Below are 21,402 nucleotides of genomic sequence, written 5' to 3'. Positions count from 1 at the left end.
ATGGTGAAACCCCATCTCTAATAAAAATACAAAAATTAGCCAGGCATGGTGGTGGGTGCCTGTAATCCCAGCTACTCAGGAAGCTGAGGCAGGAGAATCGCTTGAACCAGGGAGGCGGAGGTTGCAGTGAGCCGAGATTGCGCCATTGCACTCCAGCTTGGGCAACAAGAGCGAAACTCCATCTAAAAAAAAGAAAAGCTTAGCCAGGCATGGTGGCACACACTTGTGGTCCCAGCTACTCAGGAAGCTGAGGTGGGAGGATCACTTGAGCCCAGGGAGTCAAGGCTGCAGGAAGCCATGATCATGCCACTGTACTCCAGCCTGGGCAACAGAGCAAGACTGTCTCAAAAAAAGGGTGGGGGGTATGCAGGGAGGGATGAAACTTCCATAAATACACCATAGCATTTAAATCAGGGGACTTGGATTCTTTTCCTTGGAGATATACTCTGAAGACCCCAGTTTTGTGACTGACATTAGTGAGTTCAGCATAAAATTATTTTTTTTAGCAGCAGGCAGTGGCAGCTTACAAAGGGCCTTGCCTGCCCTGCCAATTCAGAGATTCTGGCTTGCAGAGAAAACAAGGTAATTTCCTATTATTCTTGGGCGGGTAGGAATTGGTTGGGAACTATGATAGAAAACATTAAAAGGTTTAGCCCTGGAGCAGAATTATGCTAGCCTTGTAATTAAGGCAAATTTTTGGTGGACGATATCAAATCTACTTGTTTTAAACTTTAAATCCATTTTACAAAGAATTGAATCTAAAGAATAGAATGTACTAGAACAACTTCAGTGAAACTCTGAAATGTGGAATTGTAAAGTGCAGCTCCTCAGTGACCCAACAACTCAGTGGGGGAAGATTGACGTAACACAGGAGACTACATTTGTTCAGAAAAGCAAACAATCAGTGTGGCCTACATTTGTTCAGAAAAGCAAACAATCAGTGTGGCCTAGACTAGTGAGGGGCAAGTTTGGAACTAACATGGCAGGATGTAGAGGATTGGGAGAGTGAGTGGGAGGGAGGTGATCCCAGGAGCCTAGAACAACCCTCATGAAGGCCCAGGGTTTTTCATGGGCAGGAGGGTTCAGGGCCTGAAGTGACTGTAGTAGAAACACTGAATGGGCCAAACAGCCAAGATGAGCAGGATGGCAGCTCCTTTTGTGGGGACTTGAAAGTCAGACAGAATTGGGAGATAGTTTGGTTTTCTTCACAGCATATTAATGCTCTGAAATTAAAATTGCCTTTTAATACAGCATATACTTAGTTATAATCCTGCTTCATGAGAAGAAAATGCTCATTTGTAAAGTCATCTCTGACTGGTTTATCATTTTGCCCTTTTCCAAAACACTTGGAAAGTAACCAGTTTCCCTGAAAGAAAAGGCAAAGTTTTGAGCAGTTGTTATTAAATTAGAGGAGGTGCTTCTGTACAAGGGGAAGTCGGTAGCTGGGAAGCTGATAGCACAGATCCCACCATAGTCCATTTCATAGACATTTAATTCAGTAACCCTGCCTCCGAGGAGACCTGTAGTGAAACTGACCACAAAGCTAATGGAATATTTAAGTTTGGGCTTCTTAAAGGAAAAAATATGTGACAACTCATTCTCATCTATGGGGCAGCAGACATCCAGTCCACTGCTGACAGACTACCTGCCCCTTTCAGAATCCGGTCTCTCTTACTCCCTGATTCAGATCCTTAGCCTCATTCCGAAGTGCTTTGAGACCACTCTGTGCCTTTAGACAAATTACATGTCAACTATAATTCACATACCATAAAATTCATCCTCTTAAAGTGTACAATTCAGTGGTTTTAAATGTATTCACAGAGTTACACAACCATCACCAGAACATTTGCAGTCCCAGCTATTTGTGAGATGGAAGTAGGAAGATCGCTTGAGCCCAGGAGGTTGAGGCTGCAGTGAACCATGATCATGCCACTGCACTCCAGCCTGGGTAACAGAGTGAGACCCTGTTTCAAAAACAAACAAACAAACAAATAAAAAACTCAACTTCTTGTGTATTGTATGTAATACTCTATGAGTAACTTCCCTTTTTTATCATTGTATTTGTTTGTTCAGTATTCTGGGTCTTTTAAAGCAGTGGTTCCCAAAGGTTAGTCACAAAGTAATCTTTTAGGGTGCTTTATAAAAATACTGATTCCTGGGCCCTACCCCTAGAGATTCTGATCACTGGTGGAAGAGGCAGGTCTAGGAAGTGGGGACTCCAAGATCTGTATTTTGTAAAGTTTTCTAGGTGCTTCTGATGTGCAGCTTGGTTTGTGAAAGTATGTGATGTTGCATAGTGTGGCTGAAACTGGTTTCATTTAAGGGTCCCATCATTGCCAACTCCTGAATATGTCCACTATTTCTCTGAGAATTCCAACTGCTCAGAACTTTGCTTAAGGAGGGGAGGGGACAGCCTCCATCTTTCCATTACATGCATGACTGGACCAAGAATGGAGTCCTGAACCAGTCTAGGCCAGTACAATTTTCTCTCCCAGGAACTTGGAATTTAGACCAAGACTTGAAATGAGTCATGAGTGGGCACTAACTGGAAAGATTTTTTAGAGCTAGGGAAGCCATTTTCCACCAAATGTTCACTAATGGAGACTCTATCTTAAAGGAAAAGTGGAGAGAAGGAAACAGATGGGCAAAGAAAAGTGTCAGCAAGAGACTTAGAGATGGAGAACCATCTTGATTACTTACTTTCCGGTTTTCTTGTCCCTGCCCCTTGTGAGACCCAATTTTACCTCCTGCCTTTGGAGACTATAAGTTACTGCTTCTAGTAAATTGTCTTGTTTGAATGAGTTTCTGTTTTTACAATTAAATAACTTGAGATTAAGGTAATTTAAGCCTAAAACAATTTAGATGGCATCTAAAGAAGCACTTCTAAATCCTGCATTCTTATAGACCAATACTAAATGTCCCACTTCCTATGTGACTGTCTGGTCATGTCCAGCCTTATTTCTAATTGCTGAGACAGAAGTTAAACCCCTCCAGTCAAAAAAAGAATCAGTCTTTTTATCATACACAGGAAAAATATCATAGCTGAATTACTTCCTTGACTTCTATGGAGGGAAAAACTAGCTCATATGTCTGGAATTTAATTTTTCCTAATCCATAGTTACATATCCCACTACTTTCTCCTTATTGATGGAATAGAATATTAGTAATAAAATAGTAATAAAAATGAGTGATAAATAAAATAGAAAATGTCTGTACAATGTTAAAGGATTTTCATTTTTTATACTCTTCACAACCCTATGGGATAGACAAGGATGGTGTCATTAGCCCAATTTCTTAATTTGAGAAAACTAAACCAAAAGTAGTTCATTTTATTTATCAAATATCTATTGAATATTTCTTATGTTCCATGAATATACTTCCCTGTTCTCAGGAGCTTATCTTTTAGCAGGGAAGGCAGATAAGCTATTACCATAAGGTAATCTGTGAGTTAAGAGAAGAACCAGAACAGGCCTTCTAAAGTGAAGGCCCCTATCCCTTGGCTCTAGCTATACCCACAGTCATCTAATTCATTCTAAGTACATGATGAGAATCTTAAAAGATGAGGTACCAGATATAACTTACTTGAGGGAAATTTAATTTCTTTTGTTTTTTTCTACCCTACTGCAAATTCAAAATGCTCCACATTTAACACATTTCGTATTCTCATTCCCCACCCAAAAGAACTGTTGTTCCCCGTTCACAGTTCCACATGGCTGGGGAGGTCTCAGGAAACTTACAATCATGGTGGAAGGGGAAGAGGCATGTCTTACATGGTGGCAGGCATGAGAGAGCAAACAAGTGAAGGGGGAAGAGTTCCTTAGAAAACCATCAGATCTCATGAGAACTCACCTCATAGATTTCCTGATTCATGGTATTGCAGCACCATCAGATTCCCAAGCACTGCTCTTCTTCTCTCACTCTCCCACTTTGAATAAGTGCTGTCAGCTCTCCCTCCTTTTTGTTCCCCATTCCTCTGCTGGAGCCTTTTTTGGGCCACCATTTCTTACCTGGGCCTTTGCAATAGGCTAACCAACATTCCAGCTCTAGGCGTCTTTACTGATTTCTGGCACAAAAATCGGATCATACCATTCCAGCACTTAAAAAGTCATGTTTCTCTGTTTTTAAGGATTATAAAATTCAAAATCTTTAGCATACCACAAAAAACCCTTTGTAAGTTTAGGATACCAGCCAGACCCCTCTCCTGTCATGTCCTACTGCAAGTAGCCTCTTTTCACGGGGTGTCTCACACCTCTGCATATATCATTCCCTTATTCCCTCTTCCTCATATGATCCTGTACTCCTCTCCTCTTTTAGGTAAACTCCTTACTTCTAGTGCTTCAAAGCACAATTTGAATATCAACTCTTTTTAAAGCCATTGTATTAGTCTGTTTTCACACTGTTACAAAGACATACCCAAGACTGGGTAATTTATAAAGAAAAGAGATTTAGATGATTCACAGTTTCACATGGCTGGGGAGGTTTCAGGAAACTTACAATCATGGTGGAAGGGGAAGAGGCAAGTCTTACATGGTGGCAGGCAGGAGAAAGCAAACCAGTGAAGGGGGAAGAGTCCCTTATAAAACCACCAGATCTCATAAGAACTCACTATCACAAGAACAGCATGGGGGAAACAGTCCCATGATCCAATCACCTCCCATCAGGTCCCACCCTCCATAGGTGGGGATTATGGGAATTACAATTCAAGGTGAGATTTGGGTGGGGACACAAAGTCAAACCATTTCAGCCATCCCTGAATGTCTGGCCATCCCATTCTTTAGTATTCATCACATGGTATTGTAATTATTTGCTCATATATCTCTCTCTTCCATAAGGCTGTGAACTCAGCTATGTCTTCTTCCACACCCAGGGAATGCTTGGCTGTCTCAGTCCATTTTGTGCTGCTAAAACACAATAACACAGACTGGATAATTTTTAAATAATAGAAATTTATTTCTCACAGTTCTAGAGGCTAGGAAGTCCAAGATCAAGGTGCCAGCATCTGGTGAGGGCTTTCTTGCTGTATCCTCACGTGGTGGAAGGGCAGAAGAGCAGAAGAGAACACCCACCTCCACAAACCTTTTGATAGCAGCATTAATCTATTCATGAGGGTCACTCTATTCATAAAGGTGGAGCACTCTTGACCCAAATGCCTCCCATTAGGCCCCACCTCCCAATATTCTTGCATTGGGAATTAAGTTTCCAACATATGAATTTTGGGGGACATATTCAGACCATAGCAGTAGCCAGTGTTTAATAAACAAGAAAATGAATAAATAGGCTTAGTAGTGTTATCAGGGACGACAGAAGGGCATGATGCCTTTCTGTGCCCAACCTCCTATCAAGTGCTGCCCTCCCACCACCCAGCACTATGTGCCTATGCAGGAATGTGTCCTTTGAGCAAAATACAGCAAGGAAAGAGGGAGAAAAATCTGTGTTTTCACTTTTTTTCTTTTTCTTTTTAAGAGGTGGGGTCTTGCTGTGTTGTCCAGGCTGGATTTGAACTCCTGGGCTCAGGTGGTTCTCCTGCCTCCACCTACGAGTAGCTGGGACTACAGGCACACACCACAGTGCCAGGTTTTTGTGGTCTCTCTTTAAAGGTGAGTCTGCATTCACCTTTGGAATAGTTCTAGTTGTCATAGATTGAATATCCTATTTTAAAATGCAATATTCTTACAACTGCCTTTGATGAAAGGGAGTTGAGATGGGACCATTGGGGAAACCTCCAGATGACTAGGGGGCAAGTAATTTGATTGCAGTGCCAAAATGCTTCCATTTAAGGAGCCAAAGTTTGCAAATGTGTGTAAACTGATCCAATCTATTCCCAGGATGTGCCTGAAGTAACAAACATATGTAAGTTGATCCAACCTATTTCCGAGGTGTGCCCGGGATATAAATGGTTAACATTGACAAACACACCTTATGAAATCTACCAGCAGCTGAGGGTGCCAGGCACCTCTTCTACCTCCCTGGAAGGCCCAGTGGGGCGGCGTTTCGAAGGTGTCTTCGCCCCTGTCTCCGGCCCCTGTCCCCTCCCGGGACGTGGGCGTTCCCCCTGAACTCGAGTCCCGCCTCTTCCAGGCTGCCGGGGCCTGGTGGGCTGGCCCGCCACGTGGAGCGCTGGCTTGATTCTCGAAAGGGGCCTACGCCATTGCCGCGCCGCAGCTCCAGGACAGGCCCTCGCCCCACGTCAACAGCGTAGGGCCGGCTGCCCAGGTTTACTCTTACGCCACTGACGTAACGTCATCGTGCGGGACGTGGACGGAAGAAAAAAGAGAGTGAGCGAGCGCCGGAATCAGCCCGGCGTGGAGTGCGGACCCGCGGTAGTGCCAGGGGGCGAAGGCGGCGGTGGTGAGGAAGGTACGCGGCGAGCGGCGGGGATGGCTAGGCGCCCGCGTCTCTGCGGAAGCTGTTGCGCGCCCAGGCTCAAGCGCGAGGGGCGTGAGCGCCGGGCCGCTGGAGCGGGGACGCTGCCGGAGCAGGTGCCGGGGCCCGGGGATCTGGCCCATGGGTAGGTGTGGGCCTCGGCCGAGGGATGGCGGCTGCATCGGGCCGCCCAGGGCGCGCTGCAAGACCGTGGCGCGCTCCCATATGCCGGTGCGCGGCCGCCCCGGGATCTACGGATGGCTACGGGCCCTGACCTCCCCGGCCTCCCCTGGGTACACCATGTAAGGAACTGGGCCAAGTGGAGACTTCAGGCATCCGCGGGCCCCTTCTTTCCAAGAGTATGGAGCCTGCACTGGTGGGTGGCGTGGGTGGCGGTGGTGGCAGCGCCGGGATGCCGCGGGTTTTAGCTGGCCGCACGCTGACTCTCAGGGGCCTGGGTCCCTAGTTCCCCGCGGCCCTCCAGGCGTTCATCATCCCCTCCTCAAAGCCAGACTCCCTTTGCAGTATGGCATTCTGTGTATGCTGGGGTCTTCCTGTTACAGCAGGACGCACCCACATACCCCACCTCGTCCTTCCCCCATCATTATCCCCTGCCCTCTGAGGTGGTGAGGCCCATCGGATCTTTGTATTTAAGTGGTGAGCCATATACCGAGCATGTGTTTGTGGGTGAACTGTGCTGGGACTGAGGTTCACTTCTCTGTTCAAATCAGTTAGATAAGGGCATTCTGTTTAGTCTGTAAAGAGATATTGAGAAATGTCTTGAGTCAAAACGTGAAAACTTTCTTCAACTGATGATATGGAGTCTAAACACACACACAGAGTCGAGACACAGTCACACAAATCTAGACACGAGTCTAGATACACACACACACACACACACACACACACTCTCTTTGCTCCTTGGGATCAACTGTGTGCTTCTCGAGGGCGTAATACACTCTGCCTGGTCAGTCAGAGATGGTGGTACAGGGGAGAGGTCAGGAGGCTTGGTTTCTACGTCAGTCTTCAATCTCTTATTTCAGTGACCGTAGGTGTTCAGAGCTTTCAATGACTCTTGGTTAATAGAGAGGTAAACAGTCAGTCAATATATGTGTGTGATTGTATCTAATAGTGAATATTCGTTGAATTCTTTGTTCCCGTGATGGGTCTTGAAGGAAATTAAGGAAAAAATAATTGTAAGGCATCATTAGTGCCTAAAAGACAAAAGGAGGAAAACTGACATTTACTGACCATTTGTTGTACCCAAGCACTTTCCACGCATTCTCTCTTTTAATTCTCACTATAATTTCATGAGGTCCATAGTGTTAGTATCCCTGATTTATAAGTGAGGAAACAGAGGCTTAGAAAAATTGGGTAACTCTTACATATGTAACTAACCTGCACATTGTGCACATGTACCCTAAAACTTAAAGTATAATAATAATAATAATAATAATAATAAAGAAAAATTGGGTAACTCTCCACAAGACACACAGCAAGTGCAGAGCTCGAACCCAAATCTGACCAACTTCAAAGGCCTTGTTCCTCATCGTTTTTGCCATATTGTCAATGGAAAGTTTGTAATCCAGATGGGAAAAGCAGTAGTCATGAGCTATTTAAAAGCTAACCTATAGAATTATATCCAGCTGTGAAGACTAGCCTTGCTGGGGAAGGTTTCTTAGGGAGGTGGAACTGGAATTTGATTGTTTTACCCTTTGGCTCTTCTGTAGTTATTTTGGAGAATTCACATGTAAATAATTGTTTAGCAGCCATTATTGAAGGAATTTATATAAGCAGCAAACTTAGATCACGTGCTAAAATCATACTTCAGTGTTATGAAAAAATTGAAATAACAAAGATCAATTAATACTTTCTGTTGCCTACTAGATGCCATATGTTTTAGAACAGCTGCATCCTGCCAGTCTCTTCTCTGTCCCATTTCAGTGCCTTTGTGCAGTATAAATTGTAAAGCAATGACACCATTCCTAATTTTTCTTCACTATGGGGCTAAATGCTAGTCTTCTGAGGCACATTTAAGAGGGCTGGGATATATCCACCAATCCATGGAACAAAAGTTAAAAGGAGGCCCACAAACAAAGAAAGTGAAGTATTTTTCTTACCTTGTGAAAATAGCAGTGTCTCTGTAGCATAAAAAGAGCTACAATATTGGGAGGCCGAGGTGGGTGGATCACAAGGTCAGGAGATCGAGACCATCCTGGCCAACATGGTGAAACCCCGTCTCTGCTAAAATACAAAAAATTAGCCAGGCATGGTAGCGCGTGCCTGTAGTCCCAGCTACTCGGGAGGCTGAGGCAGGGGAATCACTTGAACCCGGGAGACAGAGGTTGCAGTGAGCCGAGATCGCTCCATTGTACTCCAGCCTGGCAACAGAACAAGACTCCATCTTAAAAAAAAAAAAAAAAAGCTACAATAATGAATGGCTTGTTCTCCCTGTACATATAGGAAGGAGTTCCCTACTTTTTTGTGAAATAAACTATTCTTTGTCTAAAGTCTCAAATTTGACCCAGGGTGAGGAAATGCCCATAACTGCCTTATGTTCTCAACCGAGATTTGTAGCCATATTCTCTTCCTCCACAGGATTAAGATGTTAGCCAGTTGTAGGCATTGCCACTGCCTTCCAGGGGTACAAGAGTTATTTTGTAATCCTGTGGGCATCAGGAAGAAAGACATGGCAGCAGCCTCTGGCCTTTCCTCTTGCTTTTCATGGCTGGCTGGCAAGGATCAAGCTGACATTTCAAATAGGTGCATTTCCTGGTTCTGTTGGGAGATGTTAGCAGAAAGGTGGACATGATTGCTTTAGGATGTTGGATCTGTTACAGGAATTATATGAAGATTTAGTATTAACACATAAGCATTGCACCTGAAAGATTTTTTTTAAATTTGGAAGATACCAAAAAGAGCAGGTGTTTTTTGTGTCTCAAAATATTCCTAACTCTGCATTATTATTTGCTTACATAAAAACTAAGATGGTTGAGGCCTAGAAAGGAGCCACTTACTTTTTCTCTCTTTTCTATAATATAGAGGAGGTGGGAGTTTCCCTAATACAGAGGAGTTTGGAGCAGGAGAGTCAGATTTTTACTCCGAGGGTAAGGGGAAGTAGAGGGAAATAAAATGAATTGTCCAGTATTTTTCATTACTCACTTTTTAAAAAATGTATTCTGCAGATACTTTGGTTAGTGACCACATCGCAGCATGTTGAGTCAAGTTTACCGCTGTGGGTTCCAGCCCTTCAACCAACATCTTCTGCCCTGGGTCAAGTGTACAACCGTCTTCAGATCTCGTATGTACCATAGAAAACTTATGAGTATGTGGGACGTTTGATAGTCAAAGTATGTTTCAACAAGGTTTTCAAAGAGAAAAAAGATGTTTGTTTGTTTGTTTGGAGACAGGGTCTCATTTTGTCACACAGGCTGGAGTGCAGTGGCACAAACATAGCTCCATGCAGTCCAGACCTCTTGGACTCAAGCAATCCTCCTGCCTCAGCCCACCAAGTACTTGGGACTACAGGCACACACCACCGCGCTGACTCTAACTTTTTTATTTTTTGTCGAGATGCGATTTTGCCATGTTGCCCAGGCTGGTCTTGAACTCTTGAGATCAAGCAATCTGCCTGCCTTGGCCTCCCAAAGTGCTGGGATTACAGGCGTGAGCCATCGTGCCCAGCCAAGAAAAAAGGTTTAAAAGAGAGAGAGAGAAAAAAAAGATGTAATTTGGCAGAATTGGACAAAATTCTGCCAAATAGCAAGGAGGCAAAGAGGTAGTCTCCTGGTGAAATGTTCTCAGTGTTTGTGTCAATAAAGTTGACCCCCAAATAAATTTTTACATGCTTTTTTTTTTTCTTGAGTCTCACTCTGTCTCCCAGGTTGGAGTGCAGTGGTGTAATCTCAGCTCACTGCAACCTCTGCTTCCCAGGTTCAAGCGATTCTCCTGCCTCAGCCTCCCAGTTAGCTGGGATTACAGGTGTGCATCACCATACCCAGCTAATTTTGTATTTTTAGTAGAAATAGGGTTTCGCCATGTTGGCCAGGCTGGTCTCGAACTCCTGACCTCAGGTGATCTGCCCGCCTCGGCCTCCCTCCCAAAGTGTTGGGATTACAGGCGTTAGCCACTGTGCCCGGCCCCATGCTATTTTTGTTCATTACTCTTTTTTTGTAATTAAGTTTTAGATTTTGAGCTAATTATAAATTCACTTGCAATTTTAAGAAATAGTACAAAAAGGTCCCTTATACCCTTTACCCAATTTCACCCAGTATCTGAACCAAGGTATTGACGTTGATACGATCAAGATACAGAACATTTCAATCACCACAGGATTTTTTATTTCTCTTTAACAGCCACTGTCCTCTTCCCTATTACTAACCCCTGGCCAACATTAATCTGGTCTACATTTTTATAATTTTGTCCTTATAAAAATGTTATATAAATGGAATTATCCAGTATGTAACCTTTTGGAATTCTGTTTTCTTCAGCATAATTCTCTGGAGATTCATTCAAGTTGCTGTGTGTATCAGTTAGTTCCTTTTTATTACTGAGAAGTATGTAATGCTATGAGTGTATCACAGTTAGTGTAACCATTCACCCATTAAAGGACATCTGGGTTGTTCTCATTTTTTGGCTGTTATGAATAAGGCTGGTATGAACATTGATGTACAGGATTTTGTGTGAACATAGTTTTCATTTCTGTGGGATAAATGCCTAAGAGTGTAGTTGCTGGGTCAGATTGTAGCTACATGTTTAGTTTTTTACATAGTTTGAATGTATGTCCCTACCAAATCTCATATTGAATTGTAATCCCCAGTGTTGGAGGTGGGGCCTGTGGGAGGTGTTTGAGTCATGGGGGTGAATCCCTCATGCCTTGGTGCTGTCCTTGAGATAGTGAGTGACTTCTCACAAGATCTGGTTAAGTGTGTGGCACCACCCCCTCACTCTCTCTTCTTGTTCCCTCTCTCGCCATTGGAGATGCCTGCTTCCCCTTTGCCTTCTGCCATGATTATAAGCTTCCTGAGGCCTCACCAGAAGCTGAGCAGATGCCAGCACCATGCTTCCTGTACAGCCCACAGAACTATGAGCCAGTTAAACCTCTTTTCTTTATAAATTACCTAGCCTCAGGTATTTCTTTACAGCAATGCAAGAATGGCCTAACACAGTTTTATAAGAAACTGTCAAACTGTCTTTGCAGAGTGACAGTACCATTTTACATTCCTACTAGCACTGTATGAGTGATGCACTTTCTCTGCATCTTTACCGTCATTTGATGTGGTCACTCTTTTTTATTTTAGCCATTTTGATAGGTATGTAGTGATAATCACATTGTGGCTTTAATGTGCCTTTCCCTAATAGCTAATGATATTGAACATCTTTTCATGTGTTTATATCCTCTTCAGTGAAATGTTAGTTCATGTCTTTAGCTCATTCTTTTTGTTTTTTTTTGTTTTTTGAGATGGAGTCTTGCCCTGTCACCCAGGCTGGAGTGTAGTGGCGCAATCTCAGCTCACTGCAACCTCTGCCTCCCGGGTTCAAGCGATTCTCCTGCCTCAGTTCCTGAGTAGCTGGGATTACAGGTGCCCACCACCATGCCCAGCCAGTTTTTGTATTTTTAGTAGAAACAGGGTTTTACCATGTTGGCCAGGCTGGTGTCAAACTCCTGACCTCAAGTGATCCCCCCACCTCAGCCTCCCAAAGTCCTGGGATTATAGGCATGAGCCTCCACACCTGGCCTTCAGCTCAGTTTGAATTGGAAAGTTGTTTTTTTTTTAAACTATTGAATTTTGAGAATTCTCTATATCTTCCTGTCTTAGTCCATTTTTATTGCTATAAAGGAATATCTGAGGCTGGGTAATGTATAAAGAAAAGAGGTTTATTTGTCATGGTTCTGCAGGCTGCACAAAAAGCATGGCACCAAAAACTGCATTGGGTGAATGCCTCAGGCTGCTTCTGCTCTTGGAAGAGGATGAAGGGGAGCTGTTGTGTGCAAAATCAGATGGCCAGAGAGGAAGCAAGAGAGAGAAAAGAAAGGGCCAGGCTCTTTTTAACAACCATGTCTCATGGGAACTAAGAGTGAGGACTCATGCATTCCCTCTGAGACTGGCACCAGGCTGTTCATCAGGGATCTGCCCCCGTAATTCAAACACTTCCTACCAGGCCCCACCTCCAACACTGGGGATCAGATTTCAACCTGAGACTTGGAAGGGCCAAACCATATCCAAACCATAGCACTTCCAGGTATTAGTCCTTTGTTGGATAGGTGGTTTGCAAATGTTTTCTCCCAGTCTCATAGCTTGTCATTTTATTCTCTTAAGAGGGTCTTTCATATAGGAAAAGTTTTTCTTTTGATGACGTCAAATTTATCAGCTTTTGTTTTTATGGATTGTACTTTTGGGGTCAAGTCTAAGAACTCTTTGTATAACCCCGTATTCTGAAGATTTTCTCGTATGTTTTTTTCCCGAAAGTTCGATAGTTTTATATTTTATACTTAAATCCATGATCCATTTTTTTTTTGTTTTCTTGAGACAAGATCTTGCTCTGTTGTTACCCAGGGCTAGAGCATAGTGGCACGATCAAGGCTCACTGCAGCCTCAACCTCCAGGGCTCAAGTGATCCTCCTATGTCAGCCTCCCAGGTAGCTAGGACTATGGGTTGCACCACCACAGCTGGCTAATTTTTTTCTTTGTTTTTTTTTTTTATTTTTTGAGACAGGGTGTCACTCTGTCACCCAGGCTAGAGAGCAGTGGTGCAATCATTACTCACTGCAGCCTCAACGTCCCAGGCTCAAGCGATTCTCCTGCCTCAGCCTCCCAAGTAGCTGGGACTATAGGCGTGCACCACCATATCCAGCTAATTTTTATATTTTTTGTTGAGACAGGGTTTTGCCATGTTGCCCAGTCTTGGCACATTTAATTTTTTAAAAAGTTTTTTGGTTGGGCCTGATGGCTCACGCCTGTAATCCCAGCACTTTGGGAGGCCGAGGTGGGCAGATCACGAGGTCAGGATATCGAGACCATCCTGACTAACACAGTGAAACCCCGTCTGTACTAAAAAACACAAAAAATTAGCCGGGTGTGGTGGCAGGTGCCTGTAGTCCCAGCTGCTTGGGAGGCTGAGGCAGGAGAATGGCATTAACCCGGGAGGAGGAGCTTGCAGTGAGCCAAGATAGCGCCACTGCACTCTAGCCTGGGTGACAGAGTGAGACTCCGTTTCAAAAAAAAAAAAAAAAAAAAATCTGTAAAAATGGAGTCTATGTTGCTCTGGCTGGTCTCGAACTTCTGGGCTCAAAAGATCCTCCCACCTTGACCTCCCAACCTGCAGGAATTACAGGTGTGAGCCACTGCACCCAACTTCGTGATCTATTTTGAGTTAATTTTTGTATAAGGTGTGAGGTTTAGGTCAATGTTCATCTTTCAACTTTTAATACTAGTTGTTCCAGCATCATTTGTTGAAAGGCTGTTTGTGATGTTTTGAGTTGGCTAGCTCCTTGATATCACCTAAATCTTATCAGTAGTCCATTTCCAAGCTTCATTGCAAGATGACTTGCCAATCAACTAATCAAGCTTGTCATTAGACAGAAAAATCTCTTTCCTATTAATGTAGAGTATAAGGGCTGAAAGTTCAGGTTTTGGAACCAGTTCCTGGGTTTTTAAAACTAGCCCTTCTGCTTATGAAGTAACTTCGTAGCTTAAAACAACTGTCTGTTTAGGTCACAATTCTGTGGGATGGTATTTTGGACTGGGCTCAGCTGCACAGTGGTTCTGTGTCTGTGTCAGGTCTCAGATTGACTTAGGGCTGATTGTTGGGGATGAAGGGGCCTCTGCTGGGATGATACATCATGTACATTCCCTGTGGCTTCTCATTCTCCAGCAGGCTGTTCATTGCTGCTTTGCATGATGCTTGCAGGGTCCCCAGAACAGGAAGCATGGTAGCTACAAGTCCTCTTGAGATGTAAACTCAGAATTTATGCACTGTTCCTTCTGCCACATTTGTCAAAGCAAGTTACGGGGCCAGCTCAAATTTAAGAAGTTTGGAAGATTGACTCACCTGTTAATGGAGAAGCTGCAAAAGGATTGTGGCCATTTTTGTAATCTGGCAATGCTGGTAAATTACTCAGTTACTCTGAGCATCAGTTTCCTTATTTATAAAATGGGGATAATAATAATAATGAACTCATAATAATACCTAACTTATGAGGCTTAATTCATGAGAATTCAGTAAGATGATGATGATGATGATGATGATGATGATGATGATGATGATGAAGGTAGAATATGGAAAAGCTCAAACTATTTTTCCTCTGCTCTCACTCCATAACAACAATCAACACAGAAGACTTCTGTGACCAAATGTACGGGGTTGCAGTGGACATCAGTTGGGTATCCTCCAATTCAATTCTGACACTGTCTCCCTGAGGACAGCCCACAGGTTGAGGGCTCAGTCCCTCAAGATCATCCCCATCTTCCTAGTAGTCCTGAGTCCAGGCTTCTGGAACTTCTGACTGACTGGCTTCAAGTTGGGGTTCCCACAGTACCCTCTTTGGGCTTGATTGATTTGCTAGAGTGATGCAGAGAACTCAGGGAAACACTTAGATTTACCAATTTATTACAAAGGAAACAGATGAAGAGATATGTAGGGTGAGGTGTGTGGTAAGAGGCACAGATCTTCCATGCCCTTCCGGGGCACGCCACCCTCCAGGAACCTCCACATGTTCAGCCATCTGGAAGCTCTCCGAACCTTGTCCCCTTGGACCTCTTATGGAGACTTATTGGATAGGCATGATTGAAGCATGGGCAACTGTGTCGAAATGTGATTGAACAAAAAGAATGTGACCTGATACTAATAGACTGAGTGGGGTAACCCAGCAAGGCCTGTCTGTTCAGATTTTGTCTTGGTCTTCCTGTGCAATATTTCTTCCTCCAAGGTATGGGGCAGGACCCTCTCTGGACTGAGGGTCTTACAACCCACAATCAAATTAGAGTCCTGCCTTGAGTAGGTGAAAGGAGTTCAGGAGAATACCAGAGAGATTCTGTTTCCTTACACCAACATTATAACAAAAGACTGTAAAAAGGATTATTAGAGTTATAAGCCAGGGACCATGGATATATATGTCATGTCACAGTAAGTAACACTTTTTTTACAGTACCAGTTAATATTCATTGAGTATTTTGTGCCAATCTCTGTTCATGCATGAACTTGTTTTATCCACCCTACCAACCTTATGAGATAGTTAAGGAGACAGCAAGTAAGTGAAGGGGTTGAAATTTCACTCAGGCAGTCTGGCTCCAGAGCCAACACTTGTCCTTTTTACTCCTGTAGAAGGTGTATGAATACTTAGCACAACTCCTGGTATATAGTAAGTGTTCACTTCAGTATTTTTATTGATACTTATCCTCATTAGACTCATTCACAGAAGGAGGCACTTTCTAATTGTTTCCCTAGGTTTTTGAATTTGGGGATTTGGATTTTTCTGGAACGTGGAGCTCTTTCACTGACCATGATAAGCAGAATAGCAGAGGGAAAAAAAAAGAAAAGAAAGGCAAAATGAGAACGCTTGTGGAGATAAACAGAGAAGGCAATGGAAGGCCAGAGAGAAAAAGAGTAGTCATGTCTGGGTCCCTTCTTGTTGAGGCCTGGAACACAGCCTCATTGGTTACTGGGCATAAGGATTCTGATGCTGAAGAAGTAAAGGGTTCTCCTCTGTCAGAGTGGTAAGAGTATAATCCGTGGCCCTTAAGAAGAACATGGACAACCCCTCCCATCCCCCACCATGCCACATCTGTACACACATACACTTCAGTATGCCCTCATACCTACTAAGAGGGGACAGATTTTCTTTGGAACTTAGAGCCTAAAAGTTCCTTAGAAGATGGGAAACAATTATTTCTCTAGAAGCCTTGAATTTTCCTAACTAATCAAGGCCTTCTCAGTTTTCAATATGGACCCTAACAAGTATAATACATTGTAGAACATTAAAAAAATACCCCCAAGAAAGGTAGGGTCAGCCTTGGAAGGTAAAAGGCGTTGTTCAATAGGAAACCCAACAAGCCCTGAGTCCCCTGAAGCTCTCCTTTGTGCTAGAACCTACTGGATTTGACTGAGTCAACTGCATGAAACCTTGTTGTTAGTGGTGACCTCCTCTTGAACCCTAACAGGCCTTATCTACTGCTGTTACCCTATTGTCTCCAGCCAGAATGACCCTTGACTACCTGGCACTGAACCATGCGACCCACCCTCTTCTCCTGATACAGACTGTGGGTTAGCCTCCTTCATGCTAGCCTGGCTGCTGGATTCTGATTGGCTTCTACCATTTGATCACCTGGACAGACATGCATGCCACTGCCTGTGTTCCTGAGGTACCCTCTCAGGCTGCTCCACCCATGCTCACCACCCTTCCAGGTCAGGATAGGCCCTCCAGCAGACAGGAGAGAAAGCCAGAAAGCCTAGATCTGACAGCTACCAAAAGGATAATACATGATACTTGGCATAGCTCTAAGCTCTGCAAACAGCCACTGATGATCCCTGGTCCAAACCCTAGGGGAGTAAGCCTGTCCCTCCACCACCCTTCTCTCTGGCAGATCAGTAAGACCAAACCATTAGGCATACAACTTTTAAACTTAAGACTTAGTTGTACATATTGCTTAGGATAATATTCCTGAAAGCAGAGTAGGGTACCTATATTATTAATAATTAACCCAATGAAGGAAAGTAGCACTCCATAAAACTTAGCCTCAACAACAAACCAGTCTTTTAGTCCCAGGGACTCCCACAGCAGGAAGAGACCGTGCACCTGTGGATCCAGCAATGCCATCGGAATCCCAGTTCCATCCCAGATGATGGCTTACCAAGCAGCTCTGTGCCAGGATCTAGATGCCAAGCCTGTTGTGAAAAAAAATCATATTATCTTTCTTATATCTCCACAAACCTGAAACATAGTCACTTGAAAAACGGTTATTTAAGGAAAGGCAGAAATGACTATTACTTCATTAGAAATGTTCTTTCTAAGATATGTGTGTGAAGGAGGCAGGAAGGGAGGAGAACCCATAGTCGCCTTCCCATTCATGAGAATAAGGTCCTGCCTGCTTTACCCACCATCAGTAGATTGTGGTTAGGGAGTGAGTTAGCGGCCAGGAGATAGTCAGAAGGTCTAAAGAAATTTTGAGAAAATTGTCTGTAATTTATAGACAGACAATATAAAGGGAAGTGATAGTGGTTCAAGTGAAGGTAGTTAACTCTCTAATAAAGTTATAGAACAGTGGTTCAAAAGGTGGCTTGGAATGATAATTTTAGTAATTCATTCAAATATTTATGAGTTGCTTGTAATGAGATATAGAAAAGTCTTTCCAGGGAATTGCTTAAAGCTTAGTCCTGCTGAGAACCTATGTTACCCACCTTGTCTTGCTTCTTGCTATCAGGGAGGAACGTCTATTTGCTTAAGTGCTCCTCTACCCCCCACTGATTGACAGCATCTTATCTCCCATGTAGGCCTCACACAGTCCATCTGCCTATGCACTCATTGTCCTTCTGTGTCAGTTACAATTATGTGCATGTAGCAGGAAACTCAGAATATTCATGGCTCAAACAGGATAGAAATGTTTTTCTCTCTTTCTCCTGAAGGAAGCCTAGCAGCCCTGCAAGAAGGTAGGCAGTCCAGGGCTTCCAGAATAGCACTGTGAAATCCATCAGGGATCCCTGCTCGTTCTTTCTTGTTGCTTCACAGTTCCTTCTAGTCCAAAATGAATGAATGAGCTCCAGCCTTCATACCCATGTTCCAAGAAGCAGTGGGGATGAAGGGAAGAAAGCATGTCTCTTTTAAGTTCCTAGAAATCCCACATAACATTTTCACATGTATCTTGTTAGCCAGACTTGGTCACATTGTCCTGTCTACCTGAGCAAGAAAGGCTGGGAAATGTAGTCTTTCGACTGGTGGCAGTGTGCCTGGCTAATACTTGGGGATCTGGTAATTGTGTGAGAAAGGGCGAATGGGTAAGTAGTAAGCAGCTAAGCAGGAGGTGTTGGGCCCATAAGAAGTATTGAAGGGGTTCTGTGCCTGACATTCAGCTTTTACTCTTTTACTTTTGGCTTTATGCAGGTATCTATTTGGCTTTTAATGAAGATTTTTTTCCTCCTTAGAAATCTTGTAGAATTTTTGTTTGTTTGTTCATCTGTACAAATTATCTGTAATCTTGTACAGTGTTACAAGAAAAAGAATCAGGAAAGAATTGGTTAGAGGCAGATGTCCAAGGGGATAGAAAGTATCTGACTCTAACATTGCTTTTCCTTCAGAAAGCTGTCTGGTTTCTTTGATCATTGTTACAGGCATCTGGATTCATCAAAGAGAGAAATTGTAGGTAGAATAGTTGAGATTTTGTATTATTCATACACTTACTTTGTTCTTTACTGTCTTTGCTAATCAGGCTCTTCCCTCTTTTTTTGTTTTTTTGAGAAGGAGTCTTGCTCTGTTGCCTGGGCTGGAGTGCAGTGGCACGATCTTGGCTCACTGCAACCTCTGCCTCCCGGGTTCAAGCGATTCTCCTGCCTCAGCCACCTGAGTAGCTGGGATTATAGGTGCCCACCACCATGCTCGGCTAAGTTTTGCATTTTAGTAGAGACGGGGTTTCACCATGTTGTCCAGGCTGGTCTCGAACTCCTGACCTCAGGTGATCCTTCTGCCTCGGCCTCCCAGAGTGCTGGGATTATAGGCATGAGCTGCCATGCCTGGCCGGCTTTTTCCTCTTTTTATAGTAATATGGTTTCTTTAGAAACACCCATATTTTTCTGATTATGAAAAAAAAATGCATCTTTACTGCATAAACTTGGAAAATCTAAGAAAGAACAAAGAAGAAAATTTAAAATTGCTTATAATCCTATCAAGAGATAAAATATTAATTTTTCATTAATTTTATCCATCTATGTGTTTATACATGTATATGAAATTAACATGTATTTTTCTACATTATTAAAAATTCTAAAAATGTTAATCTTTTTCCCTTTATCCAACATTTACTCTGCTTCTGATTTTTCTGATAATAAATAACAGTGATGAATAGCTTTCTGATAAATCTCTTTTTTAGAGAACTTTTTTAAGGCTTTCGATAAATTTGCCAACCTGTCTTCAAGAGAGATTAATTTGTTTGTACTCTTCACCAACAGCATTTGAGTGTGCCTATGACCTGCATACTGGGTGTAAACTCCATACAATACTAAAATAAGAATACGCTAGATAGAGCTTTTGATACACTGTGCTAGTTTTACACAGTTAATAATGATAATGCTATTTTTTGGTATCTAAACTGGTTAATACTGAGCATGTATATTTTTATTGAAAAACTATATTGAGTATTTCTTTTTTTCTTGCATTTGACTTTGATGGCTACAGATTGTATCCAGCCTTCAGTCATCAGACATGTTCGTTCTTGGAGCAACATCCCGTTTATCACTGTACCCCTCAGTCGTACACATGGCAAGTCCTTCGCCCACCGCAGTGAGCTGAAGCATGCCAAGAGAATCGTGGTGAAGCTCGGCAGTGCCGTGGTGACCCGAGGGGATGAATGTGGCCTGGCCCTGGGGCGCTTGGCATCTATTGTTGAGCAGGTGATTGCCAAGATAGAAATTATGCTGTACTAAAATTGGGTTTTTAAGTCGCTAGTTCAGATTAGGTTTAAGTTGCTCATCAACTTAAAAAAATAATTGTGATTTCAGTGCAGTAGATTTAACCCAATGTGAAAACTGTTTCCCACTGTAGACGCCAGTGAGAGACGACATCTTAGGGCAAGAAAATGGGATGTTAAGGAGTAGGGGTGATTTCATGCAGTTCATGTCTCAGACTTCTTAGTGATAAAGAGCTGTTTCTGTCAGAGATTCTTAGTTCTGACTACGCAGTAGAATCATCTTGGGCCTGGAGATGCTTGGGCTTCACACCTAGCCATTTAAGAAGTATCTCTGGGATGAAGCAGCTGTGTTTGTTTGTTTTGAGAGGATCTCACTCTGTCACCCAGGCTGGACTGTTGTGGCATGATCATGGCTCACTGCAGCCTGGACCTATCGAGCTCAAGTGATACTCCCACCTCAGCCTCCCGAGTAGCTGCAGCTACAGGCACAAACCATTATGCCCAGCAAATTTTTGTATTTTTCGTAGAGACAGGGGTCTTGCTATGTTGCTCAGGCTGGTTTCCAACTGCTGGGCTCAAGTGATCCTCCCACCTTGGCCTCCCAAAGTGCTGGGCCTGCAAACTTTTTCTGCAAGAGGCCAGATAGTAAATATTTTAGTTTCGTAGGTTATATGGTCTTTGTCTCAACTACACAGCTCTGCAGAAGCAACCATAGATAATATATAAATGAATGAGCGTGGCCGTGAGCTGATAAAATTTCATTTACAAAAACCAGCAGCATGCCAGATTTGGCCAAAAGTAAAAATCCAGACATCCAGGCATCCCACAGATAAAGCAAGAGCTATTCCATGGCAGCTGAAATCTTACACTACCTTGTAATTAAATTTTCAGTTTTTAAAAAACAAGTTCCTGAGGTGTTAATATTGGGAAATTGCTAACCTGAAACTTGATACAATTTTTTTCTTATATTTTCTATTCTAAATTATCAAGCCTGAGCAACAAAGTGAGACCCTGTCTCTACAAAAATAAAATCGGTTGGGTGTGGTGACTTGCGCCTGTAATCCCAGCGCTTTGGAAGGCTGAGGCAGAAGGATTGCTTGAGCCCAGGAGTTCGAGACCAGCCTAAGCCACATAGTGAGACCCCCATCTCTACAAAAATTTTTTTAAAAATTAGCCAGGCATGTGGCACGTTCCTGTGGCCCCGGCTACTCGGGAGGCTGAGGTAGGAGGATTGCTTGAGCCTGGGAGATTGAGGCTGCAATGAGCTATGATCATGCGACTGCACTCCAGCCTTGGTGACAGAGCAAGACCCTGTCTCAAAAAGTTCTAACTTCTTGGTAGGCTGAGACAAGGGGATTGCTGGAGCCCAGGAGCTCAAGGTTGCAGTGAACTGTGATAAAGTCGCTGCACTACAACCTGGGCA

The 21,402-nt window shown here is 43.3% G+C and overlaps 1 protein-coding gene across 10 annotated transcripts in view, besides 1 other annotated feature; it reads left to right on the top strand.

The window, feature by feature from the left end:
* The window catches only part of ALDH18A1 (aldehyde dehydrogenase 18 family member A1), a 50,771-nt gene continuing 35,611 nt past the window's right edge, over positions 6,243 to 21,402 (top strand). For 3 of the 10 annotated variants that reach the window (NM_001323417.2, NM_001017423.2, NM_002860.4), the window contains exons 1-3: positions 6,243 to 6,357; positions 9,549 to 9,664; positions 19,748 to 19,962. In NM_001323417.2, the coding sequence (NP_001310346.1) occupies positions 9,577 to 9,664; positions 19,748 to 19,962 (303 nt within the window). In that variant the 5' untranslated portion in view covers positions 6,243 to 6,357; positions 9,549 to 9,576. Of the gene's footprint in view, positions 6,666 to 9,548; positions 9,665 to 19,747; positions 19,963 to 21,402 lie in introns of all 10 variants that reach the window. The other 7 variants (NM_001323415.2, NM_001323413.2, NM_001323419.2 and 4 more) reach the window with 4 other exon arrangements.
* Positions 6,397 to 6,506: a silencer, noted in NCBI's record as "silent region_2649". NCBI's record gives its function as "represses an Ori minimal core promoter by ATAC-STARR-seq in GM12878 lymphoblastoid cells {active_cell/tissue: GM12878}" and the evidence as "EXISTENCE:reporter gene assay evidence [ECO:0000049][PMID:35858748]".

The sequence above is a fragment of the Homo sapiens genome, chromosome 10, assembly GCF_000001405.40.
Source record: "Homo sapiens chromosome 10, GRCh38.p14 Primary Assembly".
NCBI lineage: Eukaryota > Metazoa > Chordata > Mammalia > Primates > Hominidae > Homo > Homo sapiens.
This window is presented reverse-complemented; position numbering and strand designations above follow the sequence as displayed.